This window comes from Homo sapiens, chromosome 10 (genome assembly GCF_000001405.40).
Source record: "Homo sapiens chromosome 10, GRCh38.p14 Primary Assembly".
Classification (NCBI taxonomy): Eukaryota; Metazoa; Chordata; class Mammalia; order Primates; family Hominidae; genus Homo; species Homo sapiens.
The window spans coordinates 79,516,850-79,533,970 of NC_000010.11; the positions used below are offsets into that span (position 1 = coordinate 79,516,850).

Sequence of the window (17,121 nt, forward strand, 5' to 3'; positions counted from 1 at the left end):
ACTTTGTCTCAGGCCAGCTGTTTGTTCCTTGGGCTCTTTCATTTCCCCTAAAAATCATTTGCTGTCCTGCCTTCATCTCCATCTCCCGTTTCCCTGAGAAGAGGGTGCTCATTAAGCATCAGTCATCTGGCCCTTCTTGCAGTCTCATTTTTTGGCTGGCTCCCATGTTTATGCATGTTAATAAGGTTCTATGTTTTCCTTCTCCTGTTAAGCTGTCTGTTGTTAGTACATTGCTGCAGTGAACTTTTAGAGAGGAGAGTGGAAGCTTTCCTTCCACCCATACAATAGAACTATAAAGCAGAAAAGTTTAGAAAGAATTTCTTATTTAAGTGCTGAAACTTTATACTTCAGTTTTTGATAAAGAGCAGAGGGCTTAAAAAAAACGTATTTTTGACCAAAAGCTCTGTTGACATTCTATTAAACAAACACAAACCTATTTAATTTTTTAATTAAATAGGTTGAATTAAAAATTTAAAAAAATTTTAAAAATCTGCCATAATTTAAATGGCAGATTTTTCATAATTCTTATGCTAATAAATCATTTCCTGATTTTTTAAATAAAACCCAATATTCATAATGAAGTCCAGAACCACAAATTGTTTTAAATAATTTCTTATTTGTGATTACAAGTCCACCTCTAGGGAAAGTTAGTGTACTCACACCAAGGCTAGTTTTGCAGAAGAAAATGGCAAGTTTGTAAATTCCCAGGGACACAACAATAATGATAAGCATCCAAGGAATTCCAAAAAAGTCAGGCCCGGGATGAAAATGCCCAGGCAGAAAATTGACGATATGGAATACTACTAGTTGACATAATGAGAAGGCTCAATGACATTTACAATATTTCAGTTACAAAGAATCATCCTTAGAAACCCTTAACCTCCTCCAAGAAGTAACCACACCCCTCAGATATCCCCGGGCAATTCCACTGCTTCAGGAAAGATTGGAAATTTCCAGTCTCATGTTTCTTGCATGGATGGTAGTGTATTTAGGCGTGCAAATGTGGGCTGTCTTTTTTCTTGGTCTGAAGCAGGCATGTCCAGTCTTTTGGCTTCCCTGGGCTATATTAGAAGGAGAATTGTCTTGTGCCACACATAAAATACACTAACAATAACTGATGAGAAAAAAAAAATCACAAAAAAATCTCAGAATGTTTGAAGAAAGTTTAGAAATTTGTGATGGGCTGCATTCAGAAAAGCTGTCCTGGGTTGAATACACTCTGCCACCCATGGGTTGGACAAACTAGTTATAAAGTAATTATCTTTAAAGTCATTTACTTATTTTTTAGATTGAAATATAATATTGAGTGTATTTGTCATGTATCACATGATAAAGGAATCTCTCTGGATCCCACTTCTCTCTTGAATTACATGAATCTTTGCAATTTAAAGAATGTAAGTAAAAAAATACAATTAAGAGATGACTTCATTCAGAAATAAGTATCAAATTTTAGTGCTTAAAAATAACCAAGGTGGAGGGTGGGGGCAGTGGCTCATGCCTGTAATCTCAGCACTTTGGGAGGCTGAGGCAGGTGGATTACCTGAGGTCAAGAGTTTGTGACCAGCCTGGCCAACATGGAGAAACCCCATCTCTACTAAAACATACAAAAATTCTCTGGGTATGGTGGCAGGTGCCTGTAATCCCAGCTAATTCGGAGGCTGAGGAGGCTGAGGAAGAAGAATCGCTTGAACCCAGGAGGCACAGGTTGTGGTGAGCCAAGACCACCCAGCTGCACTCCAGCCTGGGCAACAAGAGGAAACTCCATCTCAAAACAATAAATAAATAAATATTTAGATATTTGTGTTACATTATTTGTAATATATAAAAAAAGAGTCCACACTGTATGATGGAAGAATGAGAAAAATATAAGGAAAAAGTCTTAAAGTTATAGATGAAAATATGACATAAAGATATGTTTATATCTATGCAAAACTGAGAGTGGACAGCTGCTATAATAATAATACCTGGGTTATATTCCAACAAAAATAATCACAGATGGTTGTTTAGCCCAAGTTTCTAAAATCAGTGTTCACTTTGCTGCTGACACAGCGTACGTCACGTCAGATTTTCAAAGTCAAAAAGAATTTGCATAACAAAGTCTTTTTGGAATTATGATTAAAACTGTGAGAATTGAATTTAGTTAAAAATACAACACCGGCCAGGCACAGTAGCTCACGCCTGTAATCCCAGCACTTTGGGAGGCCGAGGTGGGAGGATCACGAGGTCAATAGATCGAGACCATCCTGGCCAACATGGTGAAACCCCATCTGTACTAAAAATACAAAAATTAGCTGAGCATGATGGCATACACCTGTAGTCCCAGCTACTAGGGAGACTGAGGCAGGAGAATTACTTGAACCCAGGAGGCGAAAGTTGCAGTGAGCCGAGATGGCTCCACTGCACTCCAGCCTAGCGACAGAGCGAGACTCCATCCTCCCCACCAAAAAAAGCCCACCAAATAACCAGTAACAAGAGTTCACCTTCATATTTTAGAGCATTGCACCTAAAGCAATCAGTAGCAACCTTGGAAATCTGCATGGAAAACAATATAAATGTTCTGGAATGTATGGCCACCACCACAAAAGGCACACATACTATTTTACAAGCACTAGATTTACAAGTATTGGGGGAGAAAATAAATTCAAAATGTAATTCAGACCAATCCACACACCAAGACTCAGTTTTGTGCAAATAAAACCTCTTTAGAAAGCAGCCTTTGACCTCTGTAGCACTTTTGTCTTCAGCCTCACAGTGGAGGTGAGTACAGCCTGGGCTCCTGGGAGGGATGCACTGTCCCTGAGGAGCCTCTGTCTGAAAAGGAGTAGGAGCTCTGGGCACAATGGTTAAAGATGTGGATCAAATGTACAAGAAGGATAAAGGCCATCTTGTCATTGACCAGGAACTCATCCCCCATCTTGGGCACTCTTGTCACACCTGACAACTATCTGGTTGTAGGTTATCAGTAGTGGGCTCCTACCTAGATTAGGTCCAATGGGGCCAGTAAAAGCTTCGGTTCTGACAGTCGATAGCCATGAGCAAGGGTGAAAGTAGAAAATGCAATGAGGAAAATGTATCCAAGTCTTCAAAGGTGAGGTAGGGAAAGAGAGTTTAACTGATCTATGAAAATGCAGCCAGGTAAAGGGGAAACAATTCCAACAAAGATTCTCAACACATTTCCTCCTTCATAGCCTCAAAAGAAACAATAGATTCTTTGATTGGAGGCATTCATGTGGGGTGATTCTGCCTGGATGCAGTGGTTGCTCCCCATCACTAGACTTCCAAATCCCTTCCTAAGAATCTGGTGCATGCCAGTCAGAACAAATATTCTCATCTCCATAAAGCACCCTCTCCTGAGTGTAGTGGAGAGGTTTTATAATGTGAGGGTGAAAACTTTCAAAGTAGAAACCTGTCATTTCTTTATATTTGGACAATCATAAGCACTTTAAGACCCTTTCTGGTTTGGGTAAATCAGTGATCTGCACAAGACACGCTTTACAAAACCCAGCTTCCTGTCCTTGCTTCTGGGCCGCTCCTTCCTTCTTGAGTTCTCAGGGTTCCTCATGGTCAATCCTGGCTGCAAAACATGAGAAACAAATGATGGCAGGAAGGCAGGAAGAACCTCATAGACAAGCAGAGTGGGAGGCTCCACAGCCCCCTCTCAGCAATTCATGTACTAAGCAACAAAACACCAGTAGGATGTAGAAGGTCCGAATAGTAAGCCATTTCCATCACTTCCATGTAGCCATCCGTCCATCATCCTTGTATATTGGGAATAAATGTTGGAGATACATTCATTTTAAGCACACATGGTACATTTACAAAAATTAACCCTACTTATTTTGTTCATCAAGCAAATCTCAATCATTTCAGAGAAATCAAATCACATAGCATGTTTCTGATCATATAATTATGCTAGAAGTCAATGATAAAAAGCTAACCACAAATTCTCATATGCTTGGAAATTCCAACGCCCTTATAAGTAAGACACAAACATAAGAAATAATCCAAAATGAAACAAGACTGCCTTTGCACTCAATGATAAGATCATAATACGGCAATAAAATGTCTCCATCTGGCCTGGGAATTCCACTTTGTGGCACAAGGTTGTGTGGTCTTAAATCATCCCTAATCCACCTAGACACTTTAACATCTGAAACGGGGTAATGATGTCACTTATCTATGTCATCTTACTGCCTGTGAGCATGGACTTTAAGCTTTGAACCCTAATGAGGGAAAGAAAACCAAGTTGACTCTCACGATTGACCTCCCAGGGATGTCCAAGGAATCTGTGTATTTCAAGAGACAAAGTTCATCAGCTTCTCTCCTGGAGGATTTGGCCACAATACCCAGAGGGCTTGGCAGCACCAGGAGTGATGGATGGGGAGTGTCAAGCAGGTGGGCAGGACCCAGGGGCCTGGTGACCAGGAGAGACACCCCAACTGGCCATCAGCTTTGCTGGCCTTGTCCTCAGCTAAACTTCCCAGAGGCCTTCTTCTGCCTGATGACACAGAGTGTGCCCAAACTCACTCAGTCCTCTGGCAGCCTAAAACCACTGCTTTAAATCCCTTCAGCATTTATGATGACACAAGGTTATTGTAAACAAGAAATATTCTATCACCGTTGTAAATGGAAAGCCAATGCCTTTACCATAAATAAAAAGAAACCCTAAGAAACAAGCAAAACAAAACAAAAACAGGGACAACAAAACAATGGAATTAAATTCTATTTGTGTGCTGTCACCTGCATAAAGACCCCCAGATTTGAGTTGTCTTGGTTGTAAAAGGAAAGACCAAGTAAGGGGAGTTGAAGTCAGATTAGCCCGAAAGTGAATGGGAGACCTGTGATGTCCATGAAGTGTTGTGGGGTCACCTTGATTATAGCCCAAGCAGAGAGAGGGAAAGGAAGGAGAAGCGAACAGAGTTTGGGCCCTCAGACAAGGAGAAGTCATTCATGTAACCAGGAAACACCTCCCGAAAGCCAGAGTCAACCTCCCTTGCAGGCGGGCCCCTCATGGTCCCTTGGAGGCTTGGCCAGGGGCCCTTGGCAGGACGAGGCACCTTGGGAGACCAGCTGTGCAACGCTGGGCTGGATTCCTTCTGTACAACTGGAGTGCTAATGGCTGTGTGCAAAGACTATCAGAAGACAGCAGGAAGTGGTTGAGCAGCTGTGTACCTGAGCATTGTAACCTCCCAGGGGCATCTTTCTTCCCAGAACTGGCACCCTGGGAGGTCCTTGGCCACTAAAGGCAGTGATGATGACAACAGCAGCCCCTCTTGTCGCCACTGTGCTAAGCATAGCACTTCGCAGGCATCATCTCCTGAGATCCTGAAGTACTATCACTGTTCCTTTGCACAGATGGGGATGTAGGTTCAGAGTGGTTGGGGGAGGGGGTGTATCCAGGCAGAGAAACAGATCTGGGGGAACTTGATTATCGGAGGGGACATTAGGAGAAGGGGAACCTGGGTCTGGAGACTCCCCAGGAAGATGCGGCCACAGAGATGCTTTGCCCAGGACCCAGCGTTGCCCTGGTCAGTCCTGCTCAGATGAGGTCCAACCAGGTGGCTGTGTTCCCAGCCCAGCACCTCCATCTATGAGTGAGGGTCAGTCACAGCTGTGATGATGGGGATATATCATAGCATGTTCCTCATAGCATTATTGTGACGCAGAGAGTGCCAGCCCACTCAGGCACAGGGCATGGTTCTGGGGGCACATCTGTCTTTCTCTCTTGACCTCTAGATCTACTAAGCACCACGCAACACCCCCACTCTAATCATACCCAGACAGGGTACTGGGCCCAACCTTGTGCTCCTGTTCCCAGAGTCACCCAACCCTGGCCTGTCTCTGACATCTCCGGGCCCAGGCACAGCCCTTCTATAGGCCCTGGAAGGGGCACATCCCCAGCCCTGGGTTTGAAACCTGGAAAATACTTTCTTCCAAGAGAGCTCAGGAGGGCCAGGTCATGCCTGGGTCTGTTCTGTCCGCTGGTCCCAGGATTGCCCTCTGGAGTGCCACCTCTGGTTGTACTGTGGGCTGGGGTCTGGGAGTGTGTGCATGTTTGGGTGCGTAAATCTGCATATATTCATCTGTGCATCTGAGTGTCTGTGTCTGTGATTATGTCTCTGTGTAGCTGTCTCAGGGTGGCTCTGTGTTTTTCTCTATCTTTGTATGCATTTGGGTGTCCTTTCTTTCTGAATGAGTGTGTGTTGGTTGTGCAAATCTGTGTTTGTGTTTCTGATTGGGTAATGTGTGTGTCTCTGGCATGTGTGCCCCCTGTGGGAGTGTCTGTGTATACCTGGCTTCTGTATCTTTGTGTATGTGTTGAGGTGTGTGCGTGTGAATTTGCTTCTCCTTTGGGTGTCCCTGATTGTGTTTGTATTTGTGTGTTTATGTTTTGTGTAGTGTGTGTGTTCTATGTCTGATTCTCTGCCTGTGGGTCTGTGCCAGTGTGTGTGTGTGTGTGTGTGTGTATGTGAGCACGTGTGCGCACACGTGGGTGTCCACTGTGTGTAGAGTCAGCCCTGTGGGGCTGTGTCTCATGGTTCTGTGTGTGTATCTGTGTCCTCCTGGTGTGTGTGTTTATGTGCCTGTCCGTGGGCCATACTCCTGAGTGCCCAGGTGAAGCTGGGGCGGTTCTGTGCCTCTGTGTCTCTGTGCTCGCGGTATCTGTTTATCTCCCTGTGAGTTTCTGGGTTTGTGCACCTCGGAAGTTGGCAGTCACAGAGAGGCCTCTCCAGTGCTGACCTCCAGGGGTGGCTGAGAAGGGGACAGCATGTGCTTCTCTCATCCCCCGGCAGGGCCTTTTCTGCCCCTGCTTTTCTGAGCCTCTGGTGGCCCCCTGGTGGTCCCTCTTAGGCCCCAAGGAGGGACGGCATGAAGGGTCAGGTCACAGGACTCCAGGCCAGGGTTGTGAGGAGGACTCTGGGTCGCCGGAGAGAGTTATATTGAAAGAAGGAAGATTGTCTGTGGGGGGAGGATTCTGGGCTGGAGGGAGCCTGGGCCCTGGGAGGGTGAATGAGTGAGGTCCTCTAGGAAGGGCTCGGGGACAGAGCTCCTGGGCCACTTGGAAGGTCTGATGTGTAGGTGACTACAGGGGATAGCTAGGGGCAGGGCTAGAGGAGTGCTGGGTGCCCAGAGGCTGAGGCCCTCACTCACACATGCCAGGTTTAGGCTGGGGCACATGTGCACATGGGCACTATTGGGGGACACAAAGGACCATTGGGTGGGGGAGGCAGCGGTGGTCTGGCAGGCAAATATAGTCCCCAAGCCAAGGCTGACCACCCAGGACATCTGCCCTGCCCCGGCCTTCCTGGGGCCTCACTCCAGGGCACAGGCACGTGCCCGGTGCCACATGGGGCACACCTCCTGGACCCCTGTGTCTTGGCCATTGAAGGGTGCTTAGGGCTACCCTGAGAAACTGGTGCCAGGAGGGAGAATCTGGTCTCAAGATATTTCAGGTTGTGGATTAGGGAGAACTACAGAAGGAGGGCATTTAACATAGGTTCATTCCCAGAACAAATGCTCCACACAGGGTATTGTCGAAATTAATATTTTATTACCTGGAACTCCAATCTGTGTACTCACCTGGGAAATTCTAAAGACACAGAGAGGAGTTGGAGGAAGCAGAGTAACTGAATGTAACTTAAAATAACAAAAACAGTCCGGGTGCGGTGGCTCACGCCTGAAATCCCAGCATTTTGAAATGCTGAGGTGGGTGGATCACCTGAGGACAGTAGTTCAAGACCAGCCTGGCCAACACGGTGAAACTCTATTTCTACTAAAAATACAAAAATTAGCTGGGTGTGGTGGCGGGCACCTGCAGTCCCAGCTACTCAGGAGGCTGAGATGGGAGAAGGGCTTGAACTCGGGAGGCGGAGGTTGCAGTGAGCCAGGATCACGCCACTGCACTCCAGCCTGGGCAACAAGAATGAAGTTCTGTCTCAAAAAAAAAAAAAAGAAAAGAAAGAAAAAGAAAAGAAAAACATTGGAATTGTGGTCCTCCTGATGCTTTTCCAAATCAACCCTCTCAATGTCTCATCATCACCCCGCCCTAGTGGGGAGACTGAAGTGGCCAGGGATTTGCCGAAGGTGCCAGTTGGTTCCGAGTTCACTGCTGATTACATCTGACCAAGCTCCTTTTCTCAAGTTCACCTTGTTTAATCTTTCCAGTGACAGTTTTCCGCAGCTCCGGGACAAACTCCATCTGGTTAAGTATAAGGGAAATCCACAGTGACTTACCAATTCCCTACCCTCCTCCTCTGCCCCTCCACAGTCTCCCACACAGGCTGACACCATATGGTCGCCTTAATGGAATCCACCAAGTGTGTCAGGTTCTCCCCTTGACCCTTTGAAGGTGGATGTAGCCGTGTGATGTGACTCAGGAGCTGTGAGTGGAAGTGAAGCGTGTCACTTCAAGACAGAAGAGTTGGGAGCCCCTGAGACTGGCCACCCTCTCCTCCATCTCTTAGAGAAGCTGACAGGTGATGAGGGGATGTGAAGCACAAGGCCCAGCAGAGCCATGGTGGACGTGCCGCATGAGCAGGATAAGAACCTTCAGTGTTGTAAATTTCCATTGTCTGGGGCTGTCCACTGAACCTACAGTGATATCTGGCCCATCGTAGCAGGCATGCACCATCTATTTCATGCTCTGTGAAGCAGGCTAGCCTACCCTCAGAACATGAACTTGTCAGACACACATAGGTTTCAGTTTCAGCCCTGCCTCTTAATGACTGCAACCTCGGGCATTTGACTTTGAGTCTCCGAGCCTCAGTTTTGTTTTTGTAAAATGGTTTGCTATGCTATCTCAGGTGGAAGAGAGGATTTAATGAAATAAAAATCCATGTAAAGCATTGAGCCTAGGGGCTGGCACACACAGTGAGTACTCAATCAAGGTTAGCCATGTAGCTTCATAATGTGTATTGACTGTAAATACTCAGACACTGCAGCAAAGTATTACAAAGAAGGAAGTGTTAACTTTTTGGCATATGTATCTCTTTGCACTTTATTTTCAAAGGGGTAGGATAATACCACGTATACTTTTTCATAGTACGCTTTTTTCTCTTAATATGTGTTGAGATATATGTTAAATATATAAAAAACTGAATCATTATTTTAAATTGCAGGGTTATATTCAATTTTATGAAAACCTTATTTCTCTATTGTTTGACTTTTTGTAGGTTGCACAAGGCATTGAATTAAAATAAACATATCAGAATGCATTGCATTTATAAAGATAAATATCATTCTATTAATTTTTGTTTGTTATATGTATGTATATATATTTTGAGTTGCAAGACAGAACATATTTCTTCCTATGAATCATGTTAGAAAAAGTTTGGAAGCTGCTGATTTGGATTTTTTTTTTAATTTTTACAGGATTATAAATAACCTTTTTAAAAATATCCTTGGGCACTTGACTGATTTTTGTCTTTAGGTTAACATGCCAGCAATGATTCCTTTTGGGTTTCTGACACAAGATAGCAATTTCCATCCAAATAAATCAACTATGCCATCCCATCCCTAAACCAAATTCCTTCTTCTGCAGAAGAAAAAGCCAGTACTGTGACTGCCTAAGCTTTCCCCTGCACAGCCACCCTATGAGACATGGGGCAGGAGCACTGGGAGCTATTCAGGAGCACCAGACCCCTTCCATCTGCCCTCACTCACCTTCCTTGGGGACTTGCATGAGACTGTCACTGACTTTACATGCTTCTGCAGCTCCTTGGTCAGCTGGTCCTTGTCACGGGACAGAAACTGTGGGGTCAGGACAATAAACACCTTCACGACCTGCAGAACGAGGGCAGAGGCTTATGGTGAGTGTCAATGTATTACATATCTTAAAAAGTCAATATTGGTGGGGTGCAGTGGCTCACACCTGTAATCCCAGCACTTTGGGGGGCTGAGGTGGGCAGATCACTGGAAGTCAGGAGTTTGAGACCAGCTTGGCTAACATGGTAAAACCCGATCTCTACCAAAAATACAAAAATTGACTGGGTGTGGTGGTGCACACCTGTAGTCCCGGCTACTTGGGAGGCTGAGATGGGAGAATTGCTTGAGCCCAAGAGGCAGAGGTTGCATGAGCTGAGATCATACCATTGCACCCCATTCTGGGCTACAAGAGTGAAACTCTGTCTCAAAAAAATAAAATAAAATAACAAGAAAATATAGAGAATTTCACCAAATACCTGGACTTTATTTTTTAAGGATTAAAAAGGATATAGAATTGAGAAAATAACAGAAATTGAAAACCCAATAGATGGATTTATCAGCAAATTAGACAAAACAGAAGAGAGGATTAAAGAAGTGGAAGTTAGGTTAGTACAAAACACTGAAATTGAAGGTTAGAGAGAGAGAAAACGATGGGAAATATAGGAAAGTTAACAAGAGACATGGAACATGTCAGACAGGTCTAACTTGTGAGGAATTAGAGTCCCAGAACCAGAAAGGAAGTGGAACAGTACCTCTATTTAAAGAGAAAATGGGGTTGGGTACAGTGGTTCAAACCTGTAATCACAGCACTTTGGGAGGCCGAGGCGGGCAGATCACTTGAGGTCAGGAGTTTGAGACCAGACTGGACCAGACTGAGACCAGTTTCTACCTCCTCCATAACAGGAGGTAGAGAGCACCTCTACAAAAAATACAAAAATTATCCGGGCATGGTGGTGGGTGCCTGTAGTTCCAGCTACTCTGGAGGCTGAGGCAGGAGAATTGCTTGAACCTGGGGGGCGAATGTTGCAGTGAGCCAAGATTGCACCACTGCACTCCAGTCTGGATGACAGAGTGAGACTCTGTCTCAAAAAACATAAATAGGCCGGGCACGGTGGCTCATGCCTGTAATCCCAGCACTGTGGGAGGCCGAGGCAGGTGGATCACAAGGTCAGGAGATCGAACCCTTCCTGGCTAACACGGGGAAACCCCGTCTCTACTATAAATACAAAAAATTAGCTGGGTGTGGTGGCGGGCGCCTGTAGTCCCAGCTATTTGGGAGGCTGAGGCAGGAGAATGGCGTGAACCCAGAAGGCGATGTTTGCAGTGAGCCAAGATCGCACCACTGCACTCCAGCCTGGGTGACAGAGTGAGACTCCGTCTCAACAACAACAACAACAACAACAACAACAAAATAAATTAAAAAAATAAAAATAAAAATAAAAATAAAAGGAAATTTTAAAAAAGAGAAAATGTTCCCCCACAAATCTCAAAACAAATAAAAGACATTAATTCACAGACAGGAATGTCTGCAAATCCTAAGCAGGTGAATAGAAAAAAAGTCGTGATTAAATTGCTAAAAAAAAGATAAAAGGAGACATTCAAAAGAAGCCAGAGGAAAAAAAGACATATTACTTTCAAAGAAACAACAATAAGTAGGAGAAGGACTTTTCATCAGAAACTACAGAAGCCAGAAACCCACGGAATGACATTTTTCATGTTGAAATGAAAAAAATCTGCCAACATAAAATTCTACCCACTGAAATATACTTCAAAAATAAAAGCGTAGGTTTCTAGAAAATGGCAGCAATGACGATGACGTCACTTTTAAATCTCCCCTCATCATCACATACCAACGGAGTAACTAGATGACAAAACCAAAAACTCATGGACAATACAACACAACTACATGATAAAATCCTAGCAGAAACAAAACAAGACTTCCAGCAAGACTCATCAGGAAAAAAGACATAATGTCCAATTTTGAGAACAAAAAGAAGATGTCAATTAAATCCTACAGATATTAAAAATAAAAGAATATTATAAACAACTTCATGTCAATAAACTTGACAGCTAGATGAAACTGACAAATTTCCTCAAAAGACACAAATTACAAAATCCAAATTATCCTATATCTATTAAAGAAATTAAGGCAAAGAGAATCTACAGCTAAGTTATTAGAATGGATAAGAATATTTAGGCCTGGTGCAGTGGCTCATGTCTGTAATCCCAGCACTTTGGGAGTCCGAGGTGGGAGGATTGCTTGAGCTTAGGAGTTCGAGACCAGCCTGGGCAACATGGTGAAAGACCATCTCAAATTTTTTTTTTTTTAAAAGAATGGATAAGAATATTCAGCAAGAATGTGGGATACAAAATATAAAAATCATTCGCACTTCTAGCAGCCACAAACAGAAAGGACAAATTTTAAAAAGATACCATTTATGGTTACAATAAAGGATACAAAATGCCTAAAAATAAATTTAACAAAAGATGTGTAAGTGGAAAAAATTATATATCTTTATGAAAGCTATTAAAGAGGCCAGGCATGGTGACTCACACCTATAATCCCAGCACTTCAGGAGGCCGAGGCAGGTGGATCACCTGAGGTCAGGAATTCGAGTCCAGCGTGGCCAACTTGGGGAAACCCCGTATCTACTAAAAATACAAAAGTAGCTGGGCATGGTGGCATGTGCCTGTAATCTTAGCTACTGGGGAGGCTGAGGCAGGAGAACCTCTTAGAACCTGGAAGGCAGAGGTTGCAGTGAGCCGAGGTCGTGCCATTGCACTTTAGCCTGGGCAACAGAATGCGACTGTGTCTCAAAAACAAAACAAAAACAAAAACAACAAGAACAAGAGAAAAACATTAAAGAAGTCTTAGGCAAAAGAGACACAGGCCATATTCCAGCTTTTATTTGAAGTTCAGGAGTACATGTGCAGGTTTGTTATATAGGTAAACTCTCGTCATGGGAGTTTGCTGCACAGATTATTTCATCACCCAGGTATTAAGCCCAGTACCCACTAGTTATTTTTTCTGCTCCTCTCCCTCTTCCCACCCTCCATCTTCCCATAGGCCCCAGAGTCTGTTGTTCCCCTCTATGCATCCATGTGTGCTCATTATTTGTCTCTCACTTATACATGAGAACATGTAGTATTTGGTTTTCTGTTCCTGCATTAGTTTGAAAAGGATAGGGCCATATTCATAGATTGGGATATTCAGTCTTTTGAAGATGTCAGTCTCCCAACTGATTTATAGCTACAACATGTACTATAATTCAAACAAATCCTAACAGCTTTTTTTTTTTTTTTTTTTTTTTTTTTTGATACGGAGTCTTGCTCTGTGGCCCAGGATATAATGCAAAGGTGTGATCTCAGCTCACTGCAATCTCCGCCTCCCAGGTTCAAGTGATTCTCCTGTCTCCTGCCTCAGTCTCCCTAGTAGTTGGCAGTACAGGCTTACGCCACCACGCCCAGCTAATTTTTGCATTTTTAGTAGAGACAGGATTTCCCCATTTTGGCCAGGCTGGTCTCAAACTCCTGACCTCAGGTGATCCATCCGCCTCAGCCTCCCAAAGTGCTGGGATTACAGGAGTGAGCCTGTAATGAAATTTGATAATCTATTTTAAATCTTATTTGAAAAAGCCAAAAGCCAAGATACTCTTGAAGAATAAGATGAGGAAGTTACTTTAGCAGACATCTAGCAGATAACTAGGAAGCTACAGTAATTAAGGCAGACTGGTTTACACAATTACACCGTGATAGACAAGTTAAATAATGACACAAAATAAAGAGGCCAGAAACCAACTCTCCTTTACATAGAAATTGGATTCATGACTGAATTGTAACTGCAGATCTGTGAAGAAATGATGAGCTCTTCAATAAGTAGTTCCAGGAAAAATTGTTATCATTATGGGGGAAAAGAGAAACCAGAGCTCTACCTCATACCATAGAAAAAATTTGATTTGGAATACTTAAATGTGAAAAATTAAACTGTAAAAATTTTAGAAGAAAATATCAATTATGAGAATGATTTTTTTTTTTTGAGACAGAATCTCCGTCCGTCACCCAGGCTGGGGTGCGGTGGTGTGATCTTGGCTCACTGCAACCTCTGCCTCCTGGATTCAAGTGATTCTCCTGCCTAGGCCTCCCAAGTAGCTGGGATTACAGGCACCCACCACCATACCTGGCCAATTTTTGTATTTTTAGTGGAGATGGGGTTTCACCATGTTGGCCAGGCTGGTCTTGAACTCCTGACCTCAAGTGATACACCCAGCTCAGCCTCCCAAAGTGCTGGGATTACAGGCATGAGCCACTGCGCCCAGCCTTCCAAGAATGATTTTTTTAAGCTCAGAAAGTGAAATAAATACAGAAAAATGCTGATGAATACAACTACTATGTTTGTTTGCCAGTGCTACACAACCAATCCTCAAATTTAGCAGCTTAAAGCCATCTGTTAGCTTGTGGATCTGTAGGCCAGAGGCCCAGGCGTGGTGTGGCTGAGCTTTCCACTTGGGGTCTTGCCAGCTTCAATCAAGGTGCCAGCAGGGCTGTGTTCTCACCTGGAGCCCTGAGTCCTCTTTCACGCTCACATGCTTGTGACAGGTTCATCTCCCTAAAGTTGTAGGATGGAGGTCTCGGGGTCCTTGTCTGGGTCCTTGTCGGCTATCAGGCAGGACCTGCTCTTAGTTCCTGGAGGGCATCTGCACGTAGCTTCCTCCATCTTCAAAGTCAGCCTTGGCCAGGCACAGTGACTCACTCACCGCCTGTAATCCCAGCACTTTGGGAGGCCAAGGCATGTGGATCACTTGAGGTCAGGAGTTTGAGACCAGCCTAGCCAACATGGCGAAACTCTGTCTCTACAAAAAAATACAAAAATTAGCTGGGAGTGGTGGTACTTGCCTATAGTCCCAGCTACGCAGGAGGCTGAGGCACGAGAATCACTTGAACCTGGGAGGCAGAGGTTGCAGTGAGTGGAGATTGCACCAGTGCACTCCAGCCTGGGCCACAGAGTGAGACCCTGTCTCAAAAACAAACAAACAAACAAACAAACAACTAAAAACACCAGCCAGATTTGCTTGCCAAGTTTTTCCTGCAATTTGAAACTCTCTGAAGTTTTCTGTCTCTGGTCCCTAGACCCCAGATTGAAGGGATCATGTGATGAGGTTGGGCCCACCTAGATAATCTCCCTCTTGATTAACTCATATGCAACCAATTAGTAATCCTAGTTACACCTGCAAAATTTCTTTTGCCATATATGCAGCATGATCACAGAAGTGACATCCTGCTATATCCACAGGTTCTGTCCACTCTTCAGGGGGACATCTTAAAAGGGTGAGGGTCGTGAGAATTCTGCCTACCACAGTTATATTATAATTAAAAACTTCTATTCTTCAAATGACACTATAGGAAGGTAAAAGGGCAAGCTACAGAATGGGATGTAAGATTTACAATACACATAATTGATAAGGGAGTTATTTCTAGGATATATATTTAATTAATTTATTTAGAGATGATGTCTCACTCTGTCACCCGTGCTGGACTGTAGTAGTGCAATCGTAGCTCACTGTGGTTTTGACCTCCTAGGCTCAAGTGATCCTCCAACCTCCGCCTCCCAAGTAGCGGGGACTACAGGCACATGACACATGCTCAGCTAATTTTTCTATTTTTTGTAGAGACGTGGGTCCCACTATGTTACCCAGGCTAGTCTCGGACTCCTGGGTTCAAATAATCCTCTCGCCTCAGCCTCCCAAAGTGCTGGGATTACAGGTATGAGCCACTGCATCTGGCAAAGAATATATATTTTAAATCTTACATATTAATAAGAAAAAAGATAATAGAAAAAGAGACAAATGAAATAAACATATTTTCACAAAAAAAAACTCAAAATATCAACACTTGTATGAATACATGTGTATTTTTTTCTTTATTTTACTTATTTATTTTTTTGAGATGGAGTCTTGCTCTGTGGCCCAGGCTGGAGAGTGCAGTGGCGTGATCTCGACTCACTGCAATCTCTGCTTCCTGGGTTCAAGTGACTCTCTTGCCTCAGCCTCCCGAGTAGCTGAGATTACAGGTGTATGCTACCACACTAAGCTAATTTTTGTATTTTTAGTAGAGACAGGGTTTCACTATGTTGGCCAGGCTGGTCTCAAACTCCTGATCTCAGGTGATCTGCCCATCTTAGCCTCCCAAAGTGTTGGGATTACAGGCGTGAACCACCACACCCGGCCATGTGTATTTTTAATTGTGGAAAAATTTGGTGTCCAGTGCTTGGTCTTCCCTGCTCTGGGAGGCCCAGGTGACTCTGCCACAGCCTGTGTTACTCTGTGACCTGCAGGTACTGGGAGATCCACAGGGAAGACACTGGGACATCCTAGAAGCTGGGAAATGAAAAGAAGAGTGAAGAATGCAACCACACATGGATGGATGGTCTTTTCCATAACATAATGCCTGCCTCTCAGGCTCCAATTCCAAAGCGAATCATTTACAGTTAATTTCTGTCTCCTGGGTTGATCATTCTCCCTAACCATCACTTGCTGCCCCTCAAAGGAATTGTCTACATTCCCTATCTCCTCCTTACCCTGTGAAAAAGGGTATGTCAGCTTCTATACCCCATTGGGAGGTTGGGAAATCACTGACTCTCCCCTGCCCCATACATTAATTCATCTGTATGCCTTTTCTTCTATTAAAAATAAGTGAAAACTCAGTAAGACACCATTTTACCCCACTGTATTAGCAAACCTTTAAAAATCTGACAATTTCAAGTCTTTCCAGTGAATCATAGTGTTACTGGTGGCAAATCCCTAGGGGGCTGCAGCAACCTCAATTCTTGCCTCCTCAGCAGAAAGAATTTGACCAACAGCATAATACGGCAGAATGAGAGACCAAGGCAAGTTTTAGAGCAGCAGTGAAAGTTTATTAAAAAACTAGGCCTGGCTCGGTGGCACATGCCTGTAATCCTAGCACTTTGGGAAGCCGAGGCGAGCAGATCACATGAGGTCAGGAGTTTCAGACCAGTCTGGCCAACATGATGAAACCCCAACTCAACTAAAAATACAAAAAAAAAAAAAAAAAAAAAAAAAAAAAAATTAGCTGGGCATGGTGGCAGGTACCTGTAATCCCAGCTACTCATGAGGCTGAGGCAGGAGAATCACTTGAACACGGGAGGCAGAGTTCGCAGTGAGCTGAGATCGCGCCGCTGCACTCCAGCCTGGGCAACAGAGCAAGACTCCCTCTCAAAACAACAACAACAAACTTTAGAGCAGGACTAAGAGGAAGTAAAGTACACTTGGAAGAGGGCCAGCGGACGACTTGAGAGATCAAGTGCACTGTTTGACCTTTGACTTGGGGTTTTATCTGTTGACATAGTTCCAGGGTTGTACATCCCTTCTCCCCTGATTCTTCCCTGGGAGTGGGCTGTCC

At 44.1% G+C, this 17,121-nt stretch overlaps 2 annotated features.

Annotated features, from left to right (window-relative positions):
* Positions 6,731–7,231: an enhancer, noted in NCBI's record as "H3K4me1 hESC enhancer chr10:81283336-81283836 (GRCh37/hg19 assembly coordinates)". NCBI's record gives its function as "activates a minimal SCP1, AML or CMV promoter by ChIP-STARR-seq in primed H9 embryonic stem cells {active_cell/tissue: H9 hESC(primed)}" and the evidence as "EXISTENCE:reporter gene assay evidence [ECO:0000049][PMID:30033119]".
* Positions 12,225–12,395: a silencer, noted in NCBI's record as "fragment chr10:81288830-81289000 (GRCh37/hg19 assembly coordinates)". NCBI's record gives its function as "represses an EF-1alpha promoter that drives an FKBP-Casp9 reporter gene in an ReSE screen in K562 erythroleukemia cells {active_cell/tissue: K562}" and the evidence as "EXISTENCE:reporter gene assay evidence [ECO:0000049][PMID:32094911]".